The 21,690-nt window shown below is 39.5% G+C and overlaps 1 protein-coding gene and 1 long non-coding RNA gene across 16 annotated transcripts in view; one reads left to right on the plus strand and one right to left on the minus strand.

The window, feature by feature from the left end:
* The window catches only part of EPB41L4A (erythrocyte membrane protein band 4.1 like 4A), a 278,107-nt gene that overhangs the window by 43,293 nt on the left and 213,124 nt on the right, over positions 1 to 21,690 (minus strand). For 12 of the 14 annotated variants that reach the window (XR_001742173.3, NR_144931.2, XM_011543531.4 and 9 more), the window contains 4 exons: positions 20,300 to 20,383; positions 19,254 to 19,367; positions 10,540 to 10,587; positions 9,447 to 9,524 (listed from right to left, as the gene is read on the minus strand). Coding sequence is in view for 12 of the 14 variants with exons in the window: in XM_011543531.4 (XP_011541833.1) it covers positions 9,447 to 9,524; positions 10,540 to 10,587; positions 19,254 to 19,367; positions 20,300 to 20,383 (324 nt within the window). In the remaining 2 variants the exon portion in view is untranslated. The remainder of the gene's footprint in view (positions 1 to 9,446; positions 9,525 to 10,539; positions 10,588 to 19,253; positions 19,368 to 20,299; positions 20,384 to 21,690) is intronic. The other 2 variants (XM_011543533.3, XM_047417476.1) reach the window with 1 other exon arrangement.
* On the plus strand, positions 9,476 to 16,422 carry LOC124901044 (uncharacterized). Of its 2 annotated transcripts, XR_007058902.1 has the most exons (3): positions 9,476 to 9,538; positions 13,892 to 14,003; positions 16,251 to 16,422. It is a non-coding gene; the product is annotated as an uncharacterized LOC124901044 (long non-coding RNA). The 2 variants fall into 2 exon arrangements; XR_007058903.1 differs by lacking the exon at positions 13,892 to 14,003 and having other exon boundaries at positions 9,484 to 9,538.

Genomic DNA, 21,690 nt, shown 5'->3' on the forward strand with positions numbered 1-21,690 from the left:
CCTGTTATTTGAATATTTAACTTCTAATTTATGTAAGCTCTTCAGAAAACTGCTCCAGAGTGTTCATCTCCCAGGGTATACAGAGCGGCATGGAATTGCCAGGCACTCACCCCAGTACTGCAACTGCATGAGCATAACTGCTTCGAGACAAAAGTAAAAAGAACAGGCAGGCTTGGAGGCATTTCCTTCTCTGAACAGATGTCTTTTGGTTCCTCTGTTATTGCACTTAGTATAGACTGTGGGCTGGATATCTGGATTTGCTTACAGGTGCAAATCAGTGGATGGGTGACAAATATTCATTTCACATATAACTTAGACATAATGTAAAGCAAATTCAAGTTGAAAAGAACAGCACTTTGTGAGGAAGAAACTGTTTAAATCTCTCTAGATTAAAGAAGAATTGTGCTAAGTAAAAAACTATCTGTAACATACTCCAAGCCTTTGAAGTGTATGTATTTCCTCACTAAAGTTTTCATTTTTAATAGGCTATTATTTGAAGATTAACAGGATACTGTCAAGGTATTTTTCACAGATTTAAGAGCATAATTCTTTCTCTCATTGCATGTACAGAGTAAATTTAAATTGAACATATACTGCTATGGACCTTAATATTAGAAATATCTGAAGAAAACTATGAGAAGGTATACTACTTGAGGTCATAATTATTAATCATTCTTTGAAACAAACACTCCCATTTGAAAATGGCATGTTGGTACCCGTGTGTGCTGTAAACACACACACATTTTTGTAGCCAGAACCTACACCTAAAAGCCATTCTGTGTTCATGTGACAGTCAGAAACCCACAAGGCTTGCTGGTAGGGGAGCAGTCCTGGACACCCCCAGGACTGAGGGGTCAGGGTTAGGAAGAGACAATCACGGGGAAGGTGCTGCGCTGGCAAGGTGGCATCTCCCTTCCTACAGGAACCCACACCTGGATTGCTGGGCCCAGGATTGGACACAAAACTCAGGTCTCCTAACTCCTAACCCTGGAGTCTTTTAGGATGCAGCTTTCATTCTGAACAAAATCACTGTCCAGTTGATGGGCAGAACGAAATTTTACAATGTGAAATGTTTGTGTCAGGAAGTCGGGGCGTCTAAATATTTTTGAGAGGTCAAACCTGCTAACAAAGCTGAGGCCTAACTTGGGCAAACACATACTTTTCCTAGAGTAACAGACACTGAAAAGGAAGCACAGTTACTGTATGTTCATTCTCATCTATTGTGGAATTCAGCTGGCTACCCTCATACTCAGACTTCACTCTGATGATAAAAAATTAAAACTCCTGAGACATAAGCATGCGTATTTCCTGTATCCTGCTATAATAGTAATAAGGACCAAATCAGAAAGAATTCAAGATTATACATGTACCTTTACCTTTTTTTCTAACTGAAAAGTCTAAAGTGAGGGCAGTGAAACCCTGTCAGTTAATATCCTTGTGATCCACATGTTTCAAAGACAGATGCCCTCTACTGGCGATGCTGTTTCATAAATATTCTAACAAGATGCATTAAAAATGTAAGAGCCTTTGGAGAGTCACAACAGAAGCACATTTTCCTGAGTAATGGGTAGTGTGGCGGCCTTGGCCTGTAATGAAGTTTGAAATTACATCCTTACAAAAGACCTCTAGTTAATGGTGCCTCATTACAAGAATGAAAGTGTCATTTCTTCCACTGCTGAACCGCTCCAAAAAACACAGGTGCTACTTGGAAAGAAAAAAATCCTAGCCCTAGAAGCAAGAATATTGTAGCACTTTGTCCTTAAGAGGCAGGAGTAACTATTTTGTTTATGCATGAGTGAATAAAGAAATCTTTAAATGAAAAAGATATGTTTACTGTGATAATTCTGACTTTTTAAGTCTCATTTATTCTCAGGTATGGGGGATCCAAATAGTTTTTTGCTCCTTTCCTGCTCTATTTTAATCTCGATGTATAGATTTACATCATGAAGAATAAAATACCACAAACATTGTTTTGACATAGTACCTTTTAAAAAGTCAAAATGTGCTCTTACATCATAGTCATCAAAGTCTCAAAAAGGAAAAAGAGTCCGTTGTCATTTATGTTGTGGATCTATTAATTTTCAAATGTTGCATCTAAAGGTGAACCTCAATAAACTAACAAACATTTATTTCCAGTACTAATTGATCCAATAAGTCTACATTTATCCTATTTTGTCAATTTCTCCATCTGTAACTATGGAGGGTCAACAACTGTGGTAGGAAGTATATCATAACAAGGTTTTTGTTTTTCAGTTAATGTATAAGGGAGAGGGTTGCTTTAGAATACAGCAAATTCTAACCATGTTTCAGAACAGAATTCTAATGTATTTCTTCCATCTCTTACCAAACTTCAACACTCTACTTTTCCAGACTATCCATACAATTTAGATTTTAACTGCATTTGACATTTAATTAAGGTCTGCAAAGGTTTTGAAGATGAAATGCCATATAATCATTTGATAACAATGAAGAAAATGACTATTCCTAGCCTCTTCTTTCCTGTCTTACCAATTACAGTCCTTCCTCTTTTGCAAAATTCTTCACATTACCAATGAATTCTTACACAAATCCCCGAGTTTTATTGTGTCCTCTCCCTTTAGCAGTTTTGCTCCTAACAGAACCTTTCTTTACATAAGTTCTTAATTCACTTCTAATTCACTGAGATAAACACCATGCTTAATGCTGAATCTAAGAAGTCTTTCAGAGAGAATGTAAAATGAAGCTTCAAGATGATACAAGCCATAAACATTGCTCCTGAGTTTTCTCCATTCCCAGCTCTGCCATTATCTGACTCAGAGACCTTGGACAAACTGCTTATCTTTTTTGGTCAAGTCTCAGGTTGTTCATATATAAAATTATGGCAAAGATCCTTTCTAGCTTTAAAACTTGATGTTTCTCTATTTGTATTTTATTTCCAAACCAGACAGACACACTGAAAGAAACTTACACTCTTCAACTATAGCATAACATTCCAGACAATTGCTTCACATGGCCCCTCCATTGCCAAAATTAAATCTGCAGGCCCCAACTGATTGTGAACTTGTGTTTCTCATCAACTGTACTCATTTTTTTTGGATCACCTGCTATAAAGCAATCTTTTTTTTTTCTAGTTTTTCTTCCCTAGGGAAATGTATGTTGGTTCCAGGCATGTGTCGACATACTCCCTTAAGACCAGCAAGCAAAAAGTTCATTTGCTTTTCCCATTGTCTCTACCATCAATAAATTATTCTTATTTGCTCTTAAAGGTACTTCTGTCTCTTCCACTTATTCCTTACGTGCCCACTACTACAATGGGCTACCTCTGGCGCAATTTCCCTTTCAAACTCTCCTGTTTTCATGAATTTTTAACCTATTTTGCCCTCACTCAGTAATGTAACAGCATTCCTCAGTTGCTGCGGCTTTGTCCTTCCACAGTCATCTCTGCCAACCTTGATTATACTCTGGAAGCCCTAAATCAACCATATCAAATGTCTAAATCTTGATATATCCTATTAAAGTAGAAATCAGAAACCCTTGCATCTGCAGTACGGTGAACACTGTTTCCACTAGCTTTGTACGAACTCTTCTCTCCGTACCCAAAATTTTTACCTCGTTTGCAGCCCCTAAATCAGGGGCAGGACAGTAGGCAGTTCCTGGCAAGGAAGCGGTTACCTATTTTCAAGCAAGACGGAAGAAATGCCCATCAGTTTAAGTTTGCTAACATCCCAAATATATTTTTTCCCTAGGGTACAGGGACAATAAAGTTCTTCTTTACCACTCCCAAAACAAAATCCTACCAAAATTGTGATCTTCTAGATTTGCCCTAGTCAGATATATTGTCCCTCTTACAGTGCCAAATTTCTCACACAGAAATGTGCTTCCTCATTTTAGAAAAACAATATAAAAGACCTTATGGAACATAATTAAAATATTTAAATCTGTCTTAATCTACTATTTAGATACTGTAGACATCTGGTAGACCCTAAAAGACATCTAAAAGACCCCAATGTTGTTAGGGAGAAACTAGCAACATTCATGCCAGAACAAACTCATGTTAGAAAACACTGACTTATTTCTTGTTCAAGGGAGCTGGTCCCCATTTTACAGATCCTGCAGGAACTTCAGAAAATACTGAGCAGTGCTGGATGTTATCAATTTAACAGAACTTGCCTGTGCAGGGCACTTTCTACTTTTCAAAGCACATCTATTATCTCGGGAACTTCACAAACCTCTAGTGAGGTAGGCAGGTCAGGTATTATTCCACTTTGCATGTGAGAAATGAAGATTCACAGGATAAAGTAACCAGCTCAAAGCCACAGAATTCTTCAAAGTGGGTTCAATTTCATAGTACAGGCTCCCAGATTTGCATGTACATATATATGTACACAAACATGCAGCCTGACACTGACGTACATGACTCATGTTTATGATGCAAACATCCTAGAATAAAATTAGGGAAACGTTCAAATAGTCCCCTGTTGTCAATTTCCTCTAGTTCTACTATTACCCTAAGCTGCTCTCGTTTCTCTGTTTTAATACTTGGTAGGCTCCCAAGTTATTTCTACTTTTATGCTGATGGAAAAAAACGCACCAGACTATCTCATGTCACCCACTCCTCCACATCTCCCACTTCCAAACTTCTAAGAGCCTAGAAACACATCAAAGGTAATGAATGAATGAGTAATTCAAAGATTCTCCTCAGTGAATGCTCAAAGGACTGCTGATTTTCATCAATAGCACAAAGGATATTTTGTAGAACCTTTTCCTTGAATGTCAAGGATATTTTATTAAGCTTAAGACATATCCAGGTAAAGCTAGTTCATCAAAGGTTTCACTCTCCTAAGTCTACTTGCGAGGTCCTCCTTCATCCTACACCCTGGGCAAGTCCAGCACATGGCCCATGGTCTCAAACCTACAGCAATAAGCGAGCTGCTGGCCCTTCTGATCTCAGGGACGAGATTCAAAATTCTAACTAATAGAATCTAATATTCATGTAGATTAACTTTATAGTGCCTTGTACTAGGTAGGTTCCCAACTTCAAGAATTCAATAGAATCAACTGTTTCACAAATTAGTATAGCAAAGTAATCTCTAAAGAAAGTTTAGGCATTTTAGTTTTTAATCCTACCAGTGAATTGAAACACCAATTTCATTTCCCAGTAACAATGTAATCCTTCACTATTTAGATGATAAAACTTTGTAAGTTTTAAGGGGGGGGTGTTACATAAACACCCCCTTATGAATCTGATAAAAACTACAGACCCTATCTTTAGAAAACTACGCACTTGACGCCCACATACAATTTTACATACAATTTCATGGGGTTATGAAACCCCCAGCACCTACCCATGAATCACAAGTTAAGAATCCTGGTGTAAAAATAACCAAAGGTATAAAGTTAGGAAAGGTGGGAAAATGAAACATAGGACCAAAAGAAAAGTTGGAAGAGGATGGAGGAGAGGACAGGAGATGCCGTAGCAGTGAGTAACTCTGGAAGTGGGTATAGGACTACGTGGCTCTGTACTTCAAAGTGCTCTCACTTCTTACATTTCATTTGATCTTTACAGTAACTCATTCAACAAAATGGATCAGTTGTTATAGCATACCTCCCCCCACTCCCTGCCAACTTTAAAGAGAAAAAAACTAATACTTGAATTGGTTATACAAGTTGCCCAAGGTCAAGTATCAGCACACAGCAAAACCAAGACCCAGTCCCAAGTCCTCAGGTTATTCTGTGTCATACCATTGGCTCCTAGGGAGAGAGGGAATTCAAAGGAAACAGAAGAAAGAAAAAAGACTGGAAAGGAAGCCCAGGAAACAGAAAGGAACTGGGTGAGAATAATATGATATAAAAAGTGAAAAGTGAAGCAAGAGAATGGAGAGGGAGATGAGGATGTAGTAGAGAAACTAAAAGGAGAAATAAGAACTTTCTGTCATCTTAAATATTATTAAAAAAAACTGTGCCTCCAACTTCTATCTGGTTATAAAAAGAGAGTGAAAAATTATCATCTCAAATCTCAAAACCTAGAAAGCTGTAGGATACCCAACCGGATTATGAGAACAGTAAAGAAAGAATAAAGTGGAAAGGGGTAAGGGAAAACATAAACGATGTCCCAAATAAAGAAGCAGGGTGAATTACTCTGGTGTTCTAGGAAACACGGTAGGATGAAGCCCTACAGTTAGGGCACAATTAACACAAGGGCCCTTACACACAGAGCCTTGTTAGCTCTGGACCCAAAGGGGACAGACAGATGGGGTGGTTATTTACAGTTATATTTTCCTAAAATTGAAACTAAACAACAATCTTTGCTTCTAACATTAGCCTTCCAGAGCTGGTGTGGATTATTATTTTTTAAAATTTAATGGTTGTCAAAAGCCTGTTTTGGGTAAAGTTGATTCATAAATGTTGTTTTATTAACTTTTCTTTCTCTTCACACAAAATGAGAAATGTTTAAATGGTTATCCATGGAAACAGTAAAGCAGCTTATGCTCCAATGGGTTGACTTCGTGGAAAAAAGAAAACAATATTTCCATGGAGTGGCCTCATGCCTAACAGAAAAGACCTCATTTATGTTTAAAAAAAAAAAAAAAATCCTGCAAGAAGGAGTAGCAGAGGGAGCAACATCCCAAAGACCACATGCAACTTCCAGAAAGTAAAAGTGACTCTGTCCGGAGTTCCAATGGATACATCACGGGCTCCAAAAGAGGTTCTAAAAAGCAAATTTGCCCGGTAGTTGTCCCTCTCCATAGGCTACAGTTTCCTAGAGACAGGAAAGCAGGGTGCATCGGCGTGCAGGCTTTTCTTGGAAAGTAACGAAGCAACCTGGGGCTGAGTTTAGAGACCTTATGGGCAAGAGGTAGAACATCAGCATGTACAAGATTCTGTTTGCCCCATTATTGGGTTACCGGAGTGCTGTAGTAAAAGCACAAAGGACACTGCTGAGAACTGGCTGGATCACACTGTCAGCCAAGAAAAGGAAGGACGAATGAGGCTGAAGAGACTGCAGGGCTGCAGATGAAATATCCAGACCTATGCATCCTCATGTGGGATGAGTGGGTTCCGGCAAAATTTAAGAGGCTAATGATGGGATGGAGGGGTTGGCAGCAGCACAGCATAGCAGGTAAGTGGCACCAAGAGACAGACAGCACAATGAGTTTCCACCCTCTTTCTCTGTACAGTTACCTGTTGCGCCAGAATTTGCAGTGGTGGGGATCAGAACTGAAAGCTATATTTCTTCTTCCTCTGCCCACTTTTTGCTATGCTACTGACAGGCAGACTTTATACCACATCTTCTACAGCCATAGGCAACTTAGGTATTCCTAGAGCAATATTTCTATACGTAGCATAAATGATTGTGAAGGCCTGTTGGATTTTTTGCATGAAACGTGTCGGAATGTGTTTTGAAAGCTATTTCTCATTACTAGCCTTACAAAGTGCATTAAACATTCAGAATCACCGTTATTCTAAAATATACTTTTTACACAGTACAAAGAAAGCCAATCTAATCTGTCCAGGAAAAAGGGGGAAGAAACTCTTAAGGGAGAAAATACCTACAAGAAATATTAAAGCCAGTGCAACCAGATCAGTATGAGCAATTTAATTATTTGATGGCAACCTTTCACTAGTGTTTCATTTTCAGTAGCGAATGGTACTGTGAGCAATTTTGGCTCCCCCAAAAATGTTTTATTTTATTTATTTTCAGGGCCACCTTCTGAACAGTTGAGAACAGAACACTTATGGGCACAATTTAGAATATATTAGGTAAAACAGAAACAGACTTAAAATACTGGCTTGATCAATAAAAAGTGTTAAATAAGAAAATAAGTGGGTATTTTTGCTTTGTTTTGTGTTGTTTGCGCAGAAATACTGAATTTTTTATCAGAAAGAGGATACTTAAGAAGGAGCTACCTCCCACATATGGGTTTTCAAAGAAGAAACTGAAATCATTTCTTTGAGAAAGGTGTCGTAACACATTGAGATCTCCCATCTGTCTAGTGTAATTCCAGCCTCAGAAGGCTCCACATAGAATGCTTTCCTAAAAAAATGTCCACTCTTACAATGCTGTCTGGGCTATTATTACACAGGCTTTGTAGTTAGAGGATCACTGATTCAATTTGTGCCAAGCGCAAGGGTTCTAAGCATTAAAGAAAGACCTTGGAGATTATCCAATCCAACTTCCTCACTTTTCTTTCTTTCTTTCTTTCTTTTTTTTTCTATATGAGATGAAGTTTCTCTCTTGCTGCCAGGCTGGAGTGCAATGGCACAGTCTCGGCTCACTGCAACCTTCACCTCCCGGGTTCAAGCGATTCTCCTGCCTCTGCCTCCTGAGTAGCTGGGATTACAGGCATGTGCCACCACGCCCAGCTAATTTTGTATTTTTAGTAGAGACAGGGTTTCTCCATGTTGGTCAGGCTGGTCTCGAACTCCCAACCTCAGGTGATCTGCCTGCCTTGGCCTCCCAAAGTGCTGGGATTACAGGCGTGAGCCACCGCACCTGGCCTTCCTCATTTTTCAGAAGAGAAAAAAATTACCCAGAAAAGTAAAGCAACCAAGCCAGAGGTCCACATTAGGTGAAAACAGGTTTCTCAACAGTGGCACTACTGATATGTTTTTGTACTAGGTACTTATTTGTTGCCAGGTCCTGTCCTGTGCATCGCACGATGTTTAGCAGCATCCTTGGACAGTTGCAATCCCCCTATCCAATTGTCACGATAAAAAATGACTCTGGACATTGCCAAATGTCCTTGGGGAGAAGGCAGGGAGGACAAAACTCCCCCAGTTGAGAACCACTGGGTTAACAACTGGCATGACTGGCAACCAAATCCCTCTGACTCCCAAGGTGCTCTTTTCATTAATGACACAAATACTTCTTGTTTTCGAGTGCATATTTTGGAACTAGGGATAACTGATTAATGCATTAAGCCACCACTAATACTGACTACATGTCAAATGATGTGATTAAAAATATCTTAAAAATCTATCTTACATATATGGAATGTCAGGCACACACAGATGAGTAAATGCACATATTATTAGCATATATATATATACATAAGCCTGAAACCGCAGAATCTAAGAAACAATGAGTTATTTTTGGTTGGGTAAAATATAGTAATGCCATTGAAAAGATAGTTCAGGGAGAAATCTATCTACGAATGGTAAACTTTCTTACCAGCCTTAGAGAAATTCACTACACATTGTAGCTATATACAGAATCATCTTTTAAAACACACACACACACACACAAGAAGGGACCTCATTGTCAAGTTGTTTAATCATCTTATTGTGAAGATAAGAAAACTCCACTCAAAGAGCTAAAGTTTCCTAAACTAAGTGCTTCAAAATAGTGCCAGATTGCTTCTCAGACTCAGATGGAAAAAACAGACTTACAAAGGACACTCAGTTTCTACCACCAAGGGCAGCCTCTGATTTCAGAGTGCCAGTTAATTATAATATTGAGATATTACCTGTTTCTCTTTTTCCGGTATTCTCTATTAGAATTTTCTGATTCACTACCACTGCTGGTGTTACAGCGTGAACGTGACCTGAAGACAAAAAGGTAAGAACAAAAGAAAAAACACACATTTATAACTCACGAACAATTTCAGAAAGGTTTATATGGGTCCTCTGGAATTCATTTTGCAGTAAAATTATCAATCCAAACATCAAGAGCTGTATTATCCCTCTCCAAGTCAGTGTTTCTGAACTCAGTAAGACATCTGACTGAGTCTATAGCTCAGGGAAATGGCAATGCAGGGGAAATATAAAAACCGATTAAGGTGAATGTCAGTATGTTCCCAGAACGGACCGCAAAATCAATCACTTCCAACAGAACTCTGACATGGCAAAGCCGTAAGTCGGTGGTGGACTAAATATGGACACAAAATCTTGTAACCCTCCCATCCGCCCCACTGAGAGACGTAGAGTTTATTTCCCTATCCTCTGAATTTACACTGGTCTTGTGACTGATTTTACCAATAGAATGAGGTGGAAGGGATACTATGTCAGTTCCAGGACTAGCCCCTTAACCGACTGGTAGCTTCTGCTTCCTCCCAGCCTAAAGAAGTGTAAAAGAAGTGTCTACAGAAGTGTAAGCTAGCCAGGTGGAGAAACTATGCAGAGAGGTCCCAGGCCTCCAGCCTTTCTGCCAAGATGCCAACACGAAAGAGAAAGGCCCCCTGGATAACACAACCTCAGCTGTCATCTGACCACAGCCTCATGAAATCGTGAACAAGACGAGCTAAAAAGCTGCCTGTTCAATGGACAGAATTATACTAGATAAATAGAGTTGTTGCTGCTTTAAGCCACTGAGTTCTGCAGTGGTTTATAATATGGCAACAGATAAATAAGACAGCTCCTCTGAGACACAAAGGAGCAGGAAACAGCACAGTCTTAGGATGCAACAGAATGGAAGACTGGGAATCAGCTGAAGACAAACTGGCTTTTGAAAGTAAAAAAAATAAAAAAAAATAATGCCCCCGCTCTTTCCTTAACTCTGAGCATTTCTAAATCTGCTAACCCTTCTTCCCTCTGACTGTCCTTCCATTTTTGTTTTTTTACCTCCTCCTTTGCTTAAGATCTGAATCTTCACCACTGTTATGGGCTTTCCTGTGAAAACAAATGAAGACATTTAAGAAAACAGGAGATTATCAATTGGCTAAGGAAAGCACACCAAAATGAGTTTCACTTCAGTTAACACATATTTGTCATACATTCATTCATTTGCCAAACATTTACGTCATATGTATATGCCTAACCCTACATACAACACGTCCCAGAAATATAATGTTAATAACATCACCTGGCCTCACTCTAGTGGAACCTGCAAACCGTCCGAATTCCATTAATCCAATGATGAGGTTAGTCTGCAGTTTCAGAACTGCAATCCTCCAAGCTGATTTCTGCCATAGTGGAACTGACATCATCTCACTTGGATGCCCTTTCCCATACCCTGAGGCTCCAAATTCTCTTTATCTCTTCTCTCATAATCTCCTCCACTTCAACTCAGCAACCTACCTCATACTTACGACTTTATCATCTGTAACCACCTCCAAACACTTTGCTCTCTTACCACAATCTCCTCTTCCTCCTGTTTACCACTCGCCATTTACTTTCAAACAGCTTCAATGGGGCATCCTGGTTAAAGGTGCTGGCTCTAGAGCCAGACAACATGAATGTGAATCCCATCTTCTCCACTGATGAGTTATGTGATTTAAATAAGTTACTTTTCTACTCAGTGACTCATTTTTAATAGAATCTCCTTTAAAGTCTCCTCTAAAGGATAAAACGAATTAATACATTTAAAATGCATACACTAGGACCTGGGCCATTGTTAGCACTCAACCAAGATAAGCTGTTATTGCTTATTCAACTATTTCCATTCTTCCTTTTCTTTGACCCCAATAAGACTATCTATTGACCTGGCTACTCTCCACCAGCTCTTCACTTCTCTTCACTGTCTTCTGTACTCAGCTTAGATTTCCTAATCCATCATTTCAATAACATGCATGCTGATACTCAACATGTTCCTCAACTCTGTTTTTCATTCCATCTTTTTGGCAAAATCCCAGGCATGGGTGAATCCAACTATGCAAGTTTTCTGGATCAGTCCTAAACAGCTGGCTGAGCAGTGCTGGAAGGAGTCACACAAAAGCGGTGTATTACACTACAAATCCATGTTCATTAACTTCAAGTGGGGCCACACCACGGTTCAGCAATCCTGCCACTTTTCACAGATCTAAGTACAAAGTGGTTTCAAACTCTCCACCCTGCAACCCTCTGACCCACAGTACTCCTGTTTCAGCAAATGATTTTGTTTTCTCCTTCCGAAGGAAAAAGCAGCCTCCAGATGTAACTCTTTCATCTTCCTGCTACCAAAAATAAAAACTTACCAACATCTTCCTCTCTGTTATTTATGGATTTATCCTTACTACCAAGGTTAGTCCCTCCACCAGTGCTTTGTGGTCCCATCACCCTGTGTCTTTTCAATGACTTTCATTAACTACCCTCCCACCTCTCACACAGTCACCTTGCCCGTCTAGCAGACTCTTTTTACAAGCTATTAACTTTTTCAAGACTCTACTGTTTAAACAAACATAGACCTACTTTGAGTCCACATCCCCCCTCATCTGCCCAGTCTCTCCTCTCTCCTTCAAAGCCAAACTTTTGGAGAGTGGTGTCTATGCCCCATGCTCCATTTCCTTACAATCTGTAATCTAGCACCTTCCCATTCTGATCTCTTTAACGTATGGCTTACGTTACTCCATTTCCTCCAACACACTTATATCAAATAACATGAACAGCAATATGTGGTCTCTGTTCTTACATCAAATTTTGGGGTCACTATTTAGCATAAACACAATTATACCGAAATTGGTCACAGACGATCTAAATAGTGTTCCAGGAATATGATTCCATTCTTTTGTAGGTTTTAAATTTTCTAAGAGAAGATACTTGCCTAAGTTTTCCATGTACATATCACTTGCTTAGGGTTCTTTTGCTTATCACTAATTCTTCAAACTCTGAGAGAACAGCAAAACTCCTGCTATGGATGGATACTCAGGTAATCTGCAAGTTCCATTTATCCCTCCTGGAGCCCTCTGCCCTCCTGCTCATACCTGGACCTTTGACTAACTCCCCTTTACCATGATCCAAGGAACTCCTTTTGCTTCTTGATATGATGGACCCTACATCTCCAGGTCTTTTGGCTACTTGTCTGGGTTTTGGTAAAGTGTATCTTTTAGTTGCTAACAGAAAAATTTGCATGACAGATACACTTTTTTGGAACCCAAAATTTCTGAAAATGTCTTTATTCTATACAAACAATTATGGTTATCTGGGCATAGACTCCTAAACTGAAAATAATCTTTCAGACTTCTGAAGGCAATACTTCTTTGCCTTCTTCCTCTGATATTACTGTTAAGCAGCCCAATTTTTTTTTCTTTTTTTTTGAGACGGAGTTTCACTCTTGTGGCCCAACCTGGAGTACAGTGGTGCGATCTCAGCTCACTGCAACCTCCGCCTTCCGGGTTCAAGTGATTTTCCTGCCTCAGCCTCCACCAGTAGCTGGGATTACAGGCATGCACCACCACGCCTGGCTAGTTTGTATTTTTAGTAGAGACAGGGTTTCACCATGTTGGGTAGGCTAGTCTTGAACTTCTGACCTCAGGTGATCGGCCCACCTCGGCCTCTCAAAGTGCTGGGATTACAGGCATGAGCCACCGTACATGGCTCCCAATGTCATTTTGATTTGTCACTATTTGTACATGGATATTTTTTTCTCTCCCATATTCCCATGCCCCCTCCAAATCTTTAGAATTCTTTGTTAATCTATAATGTTTTGAAATTTAGTTATAATGAACCTTCGAATGAATCTAACTTTTCAACCGATTATGTCAAATGCTTAGTGGGTTCTTCTCTATAATGTCACATCCTTCAGTTCCGGAATATTCGCTTTGCTGTTTCTTTAATAGTTTCCTCTCCTATGTTTTCTCTGTTCTTTTTTCTTAGAAATTGTATTAGTTGAATGTTTGATATCTAGGTTTGATAATTTTATTATTCTTATTTCCATACATTTGTTTTATTGTGGGTTTTTTGGTTCCGTTTTGGAGAAGATTTTCTTAATGTTACCTTCCAAATATTTTACTCATTTTAAATTCTGCCACACTAATTTTAAGCCTAATAACTCTTATTTATTAGTTCTTACCTTTGTATTGATAGAAATTCATGGTTATATTTTTTCATCTTTCTAAATAATTAGTTTTTTAGAAATTTTTATTTCTTATATTGTCTGTTTCCTGTGAGAATGCCCCCAACCCCACCCTACACCCCATTTGTTTGTTTTAGTCTCTGCCTTTCTAGACAGAAGCAATGCTCAAATGCAGGCGTTCATGGCTCTCTCTTCCTATTCAAGCAGTAAGTGTTAAAATGACTGGAGCCCTTTGGATGGTGCAGTGCACGTTAATTAATGGCCTCACAGTAATATGAGGGCAGCCTCAATCATTTCACTGGATGATCCTTTGAAAGTAAGTATATGTAAGTCTTTTCTCTTGTACCTAGTCCATTTCCTGCAGTGAGATTCTCTAGTCTCATGCCTGGGAGATATAACCGTTTCAATGGAAGATGCTTTGAAAGCTAGTATCCATAGTCTTTTCTCTTGTCCCTGTCCATCTCTTACAAAGGGATTCTCTAATTTTCTGCCTAGGTAATATAAGCCTGGATTCTAGTATTCTGGGAATGAAGAGAGAAGGGAGACATTTGGTATGCAAATTTTCACTCTCTTGATTTTTCCATGGCCACAATCTCTCTTTCTCCTTTACCAGTTAATCTTCAATTAAGCCAAATGCTGGAGCTTCTTACAACTCTGTCATTGGCTTTGTCTTTTTGCATTCTATCTATACTATCCACCTAAACAACCTAATCTCTATATTTCAAGTAACATACTTAAGATTATATTTCGGTCCATAAAGCAAATCAAGCCCCTGACTTCCATTCACAACCCATGTGAATCCCACACTTGGACTTCTCAGAAGTACCATAAATTCAGGATATCAGAATCTAAACTGGCAATTGTCCCTTTCAAGCCTGTGAAGTCCTGATGATTCTACTTCTACGCAACACATCGAATTCAAAAAACTGAACAAGCCTGGGTTTCATTCTGGACAGCTCCCTCTCCTCTACCCCTCATACTGATTCTCCTACCAATTTTACCTCTCACTGGCTACTGAAACCATCTACTTCTTTATATTTCCACATCACCACCTTGGTCCATGCTCCCATTCTCTATTGCTAGGACTCGGACAATAGCCTGCTGCCTGGTCTTCTGCTACTACCCACTTTCACCATTTCTCCACAGGACAGTGAGGGTCATCTGTACAAACACAAATGTGATGTTATTGTACTTCCTGTAAAAAACCACTGGTCTAAGGACCAAAATCCTGAACAAAGTCCAGGTGGGCTGTAAGATCAGATCCCATCTTTCTCTCTATGCTCATTTCTAACACATTTTTATTCACTCTCAGAGTCTGATAAACACTGGCCTTTTTCGTTTTCATGAAGGTTTCCTGCTTCTTTCCATTCCCAATGCTTTTGCACATGCTAGCCCCTCTATCTGGTATGATTGCTCCTTTCTTTTAGCCTGTTTGTATCTCAGATCCTGGCGCAAGCATCCAACCTCAGGAAACTAACCCCAACCTCTTTGGCTCAGTGATTCAGCAAACTTCCCCTAACAGTGCTCATTACACAGGCATCTATTTATAAAAATTTATCATGCATTACACTTATGACACGTGTACTTTTCTGTATGCATGCTAGGTTTCAATAAAAAGTTTTTAAAATTCCCTTAAGTACCACATAGCTTACCTTCATATTATGTATTAAAGTCACAATGGCACATATATTCCTATGACTCATGTATTTATCCCTTAACAGCATCTAAGCTCCCAAAGGACAACAACTTTGTCTAATGGCAGCAGCACACTGCATGGCATACAACAGGCACCCAAACATTTTTTAATGTAAAATTGAAAGCTGAGGAGTGAAAATATATTGTACTACCAGGAAATATGCTGACTTTCTTTTTCTAGAATAGGAACGTTTAAACAAGCAGGCTTCAGGGTCTCCATAAATTTTGAAAATTATATGCAGATGTTTATATGTATTTAAATATGAACCTACCTTTCCCTAAGGAATGAATCCAACATTTCACCAGATCTCAGAGGGTAGTACCACCCAAAAAGGTTAAGGACCACTATTCTGGACTCGGCCAGAATTTGATAGCTTGTATCCACCTCATGATAAACAAAATAGGAAATTTTGACATCTATTGCAAAGTGTATTATCCTGGTATCCAAAGCAAAATATAATTTCCTATTATTAAATTTAAGTCCTTGAGATTCTTCCATGCTGATGACATGTCTTGATTTTAAATGCCAGTGTTAATCCAGCAATGTAGAGGTTTGTGCTGAGTGCAAGGTAAATATGTGTGAAGATAAAAAAGACTGACAAGGACAACGACACTTATAGGGCATTCATACTGGGAAGAAACAGAGAAGAATGTGCTTTAGTCCTTTTTATGTCAACATGCAGCAATGGCTCATTGCCTCAAAACACACGTCCCCAAAAGAGACCTGTAAGTGCATCAGGCAAAAGGCTCTATGGATGCTCAGGCAAAAAGATCCTCTTCCCAGCAAATTTAAATAGCCTTCCCCTGGAATACGCCAATGAAAGGATCCTGTATCCACTCTCCACAATTACTTCTCTGTGTTTCACAGGAAGCCAGCGGAAAATGAACCTCAGTGTAGAAGTCAAGTCTGGATTTGGGAGTGTATATGCTGCAAACTATTTCAAGCAATTATTTTGTATGAAAATATGCAAATTTAGCCATATTTTAGCAAAATGTAATTAAGCTCATTTTCAAATGTATTAAAATGACTATCTGCTCAACATGTGTAATTATTTTATATAGGGAGTGCTGACAAATTGCACTAATTAATTAAGGGTAGAAAACTATAAAACTCTATCTACGAATAATATATGCTAAATTCTAATCATCCCTGCCACCTATGTCGCCTCAACACACAATACACACAAATGCACTTTAAAGTATTTCCCAGTGGTGTTGCTTTGGTTTTAAGTATTGTCCAAATTGAACCAACTCTTGGTGTTCCCAAGGAGAATGCTGAGTAAGGGCTGAAGTACAGTTTATTTAAATGAGGGCTATCACTATCTCCACCTTTTTCAGATGTACAGGCTGGGATTCCAATCCCATGTGTGCCACAGAGGACAAGCTACCATCATCTCCCTGAGCCTCAGTTTTCTCATCTGTAAAACTGAGATGGTGATGGTGGGCTGAATATTTTTCATTGGTACTCAGCCTCTACTGACTCATCTATAATCTACTCTCTACTGCAGAGATAGAAAGCCTGGAAATTTTATATTCCTGGACACTTTGCCAGCTGGGTTCTAGTTAAGAGAGACTCCAGTTAGATCTGAAGGCAGAGAACAGGAAAAGTTATTTTCCTTCTAGTTGTACCTGTGGCATCAACTCTTGCACTCCTGAGAAGTGGGGGTTCTTTGTTCGGCTACAGTGGTGGTATCTCCAGCAGTGTCAGCAAGAGTGGTCCCTGTCTAGCATCCATCACGGTGCCTGCAGCATTGTCAGCAGCAAGCACAGGCTCAGGATTGCCTGCTCAAAGGTGGAAGCGGCTTCTGGTCTCCAGGTAACACCCACTTCTCTCTTTGCATTCCTTCAGTCCAGAGGCAGTAAAAGCAGCTAGATCTCTTGAGTTACACCACTCTCTGCTTTTTGCACCTTCAATCCTACTTATACCTTTGCACCAATTCCCTACTTAATCCCCCTCTGCTAGAATCACATCATGCCTGAATACAAATGCCATTTCCCAAAGGGTTATTATTGGGATTACATGAGATAATATAGAGCAAGCACTTTGCTCAGTACTTGGAATATGGCAATACCAAACAAATGCCTACTATTACCCTATTATTCTGTCTAATCATTGTTGGACCTGATCTAGCACCCTCATGTCAGTCCTACTACATGAAGGTAATATAGACCCTTCTCTTCTTAACCATCAAAGGATTTCAGTGAAGTTGAACTTGGTTTCAGAAAGCTGGGGGCAAAGCTCTGGGAAACTAGCAGAAGCAAAAGGGATCAAGCAGGAAAAGGCCAGCAAGTGTGTATTAACTAGGGCATAGGTGAAAGAAGGGCTTGGCTTCCAAACCTGCAGTGTGCACAAAAAGAGTCTTGATGGTTACCTGACATCATGAACTGAAACTTCTTGTAAGTATAAAAGTCATTTAGGCTGGGTGCAGTGACTCATGCCTGTAATCCCAGCAATTTGGGAGACTGAGGTGGGAGGACTGCTTGAGGCTAGGAATTCAAGACCAGCCTGGGCAACATAACAAGTGAGACCCCATCTCTACTTTAATTTATACATTTTTATTTTTTTAAAAAAGGAAAAAGAGGCCGGGCGCGGTGACTCATGCCTGTAATCCCAGCATTTTGGGAGGCTGAGGCAGAGGGATCACGAGGTCAGGAGTTCGAGACCAACGTGGAGAAACCCTATCCCTACTAAAAATAAAAAAATTAGCCGGGCCTGATGGCGCATGCCTGTAATCCCAGCTACTCAGGGGGCTGAGGCAGGAGAATCGCTCGAACCCAGGGGGCAGAGTTTGCAGTGAGCCAAGATCATGCCACTACACTCCAGCCTGGGCATCAGAGCGAGACTCCATCTCAAAAACAAAAACAAAAACCACAAAAACCAAAAAAAGGAAAAAGTCATTTATACAATGCCAATTATGTAGGTACTCAAAATAAAACACAGTCCCTGCCATGTAGGAGTGAAAAGAATTTCACTGATGAGTCATTTCTACATCTTCCTCTCTTGTACCTGTCACACTGCCCAGCCTGCTTTGCAGAGAGGTCCAAAACTTCCAGCTAAGAACTTTTTAAATTAAGCATACACACACAAATATTATCCCTTCAAACACTCTACCCGTATAGGTAAAATGTAACAGGATTCATTTTTTTCTGTGCTTTAAAAGGCGTTTTTCAGCTAAAAAGGCTTATCTTTAAGTGTAGTTTTGTCTTCTCAGGTAGAAACACTTAATATGTTTTATATATTAACATATACTATCTCGTCTGGGCGCAGTGGCTTACACCTGTAATCCCAGCACTTTGGGAGGCCGAGGCGGGTGGATCACCTGAGGTTGGGAGTTCGAGACCAGCCTGACCAACATGGAAAAACCCCTACTAAAAATACAAAAAAATCAGCCGGGCGTGGCAGCACATGCCTGTAATCTCAGCTACTGGGGAGGCTGAGGCAGGAGAATCGCCTGAACCCAGGAGGCGGAGGTTGCAGTGAGCTGAGATCGTGCCACTGCACTCCAGCCTAGGCAACAAGAGTGAAACTCCGTCTCAAAAAAAAAAAGATATACTGTCTCTACTTTGTAATATACTATATATAATACATATTTTTATTATATATTATATACTATTTTTAGACACATTATTCATAAATAGAATACAGAAAGCAAGTTCCTGCCAATATTTTATGAAATTATTCTCTAAAACTCTGGCTGTTTACGATAAATACTTCAGGATTCCTAACTTATTTTATGTCAAAAAGAGTAAGCTGCTTGTTATCTTGGAGAGAAACAGTAATGTCGGTATAAGAATCACCTATTATAAAGTCAGGCCTGGGACAAAATGCTTCTGTTGAAAGCTGCTAACAGAGAGATTGTGTTCCGCTTACCTCCTCCTCACAGGCTGTACAGAATCATTGTCACTTCCACAGGAGGGGTTTCGGCGACGCGTGTAAGGGAACTTTGGCGACTTAGTGCGATCACTGGGAGAATTGTAGAGTCCACTGGAGAGAAAGAAAAATGGTCAAAAAGAGCCCAGAGAGTTCCTGGGGGAAAACACACCGCAGCCCAGACCTATTCATAACTGCACAGCTGGTACTTCCAGAGGCACATGCACCAGGGGCACGTGGTTCTCTTTGCTGACAAGATTTATTAAAAGAAAAGAGGTAAGATCTGGCAAATCAAATCATAAAGGTCATTATTTTGCAGGAATGCCATTTGTCTCACTAGCCTTCAGTAGTAAAAAATGAACACACACAAATAACAATAACAATTCATACATATGATGAATTTAGCCCTTTCTAAACACTGACTCAGCTAAAGACTTTACATTCATTATCTCAGCTAATCTTCATATCAGCCTTCAGCACTGAGATACAACTATTAAACCTATTAAACAGAAAAAAAATTGAAATATAGACTACTTAATTAAGTGGCCCAAATAAAGTAGCTAGGAAGTGGCAGGGCTAGAATTTGAACTATAAGTTACAACACAGGTCTGTCACTGGTTTGGTAGTTGTGACCAGAGATACACTAGACATATCCATATTTTTAGGAATAAAGGTCTTCCAGCATAACTATTCATCAGCTATAGTTTTTGACTTAAGTTTTTAACCAAAACTATGAAATGGGGAAAATTATTAATATGCCATTTAGAGTTTTCAGAAATATATTACCTTACAGGCAATTTCATAATATTTCCTAGGTTTCCCTTTTGCCTTTCCAGGAAAAAGTTTCATGTTATAAAACATACTGTTGATTTCCACTTCAGAAATCCCAGCCCCTCTCCCCTGGGTCACATTGATTTAGAGTCTGCCCACTTTATCCACAGCTAGCTGTGATCAGCCACCCAGCAGCTGGATTCCTTTATTCAATGAGCTGCATGTACTAACCCCTTTTCTACTGTCTCCTTTATAAAAACAATGATTCCCTTTACCTCTGGGGGCCATTTTCTTCCCACGGTGCATGAGATTTGCTTCTTTGGGTATCAGGGCTATTTTCATTCTTTGCTTTCTTAAAGCTTTAATTTTAAAAAAAAGTATGAGAAATAAATTAAGTAGAAAATAAAAGTAAACTCACATACTTATTTGTTAAGTAAAACTTTTTAACAAATGTTAAGATGTGCACACTTATTTGCTTGTTTATACCTGTGACTCTAAAAAGAACATGAAGTCGCTGCCCATAAAATCTGTCTCCAGCAAGTACCTTTGGGTCTTTCCCCCCTCTTTCTTTCTAGTTTTACTGCTTTAGTCAACAGATGCCAGGTCCATCAATTGTTAAGAAACTCTAGAGTCCACCTGCAGGAGAGGCAGCAAGGGGAACCACAGAGCCAAGAAAATAAGAAAGCCAAGGAGGAAGGACCTGGGCTACCCAGGATCTTCAGCCTGGCTCCCTTTTTACAACAGTGATCAGAGAAGCCCTTACTCCAGGCACGGGTCTGAATCCACACAGGTCGGTCAGCCCCGGGCAGGTTCAGGCTATTCAAACTGACCTTTTCCTGGCTTCCGCCTTATCTTGGCTTCATCCCTCCAGATGAGAATGACTTTCAAATGCTATTTCCTGACCTAGTATCATCTTTCAGTCCTAAGAATGTAAATGTAACTGAGTTGTTCTACCCTCAACAAATTGTTTTAGAAACCCCTGGGGAGACATGGAGGAAGGGACTAATCAGAAGCCTCCAGGCACCAGTGGGGAGGGGTGTGTCACCTCTCACATCCTCAGGAGTCTTAGCTTAAGATAAAGATAGAGCTATTTAACTCCAAATCCACTTTTAACCCTGGCTTTTTGAGGAATCCTCTGTATAACTGTCCTAGGATAGGGTCATAGAGGAGTACTTTGTAACAGCCAACAAAGAGGAGAGAGGAAAGATGACGAGGTATTAAAAAAAAAAAAAGACTTGCACCCTAGTATACTATCCATGATGGAATTAAAGTAAGCCTATAAAATTTTGTATCTGACAGAGGCATATAACCCATAGTATTAGTAGATGGCAGCTTAGTTTATTATTTTTATAAAGGCTAAAAACCTCTACAGATTCAATTCCCAAAGTAAAAGCTTACCTTTTGAAATGATGAAAATTAACAAATATGGCAGATATTTAATACGATAGTAGAAAGTGTATGGGATCAATAAATCAGAAAAAGCAAAGAGAAGGGAGAAGGGAGACTGGAAAAGAAATAGGGAGATAAAAGAGGAACTGAGAGAGTATACAAAAGTTAAAGAATAATAAAATCCTGGGTGACAAGTTAATTGCATTCACACCCTAAGGTATTTCTCATCTGAAGCTTGAGAGGAAAACTTTGGTGGTGCTTCAAGTACCAGTATCAT

The sequence above is a fragment of the Homo sapiens genome, chromosome 5 (genome assembly GCF_000001405.40).
Source record: "Homo sapiens chromosome 5, GRCh38.p14 Primary Assembly".
In the NCBI taxonomy this organism is placed as follows: Eukaryota; Metazoa; Chordata; class Mammalia; order Primates; family Hominidae; genus Homo; species Homo sapiens.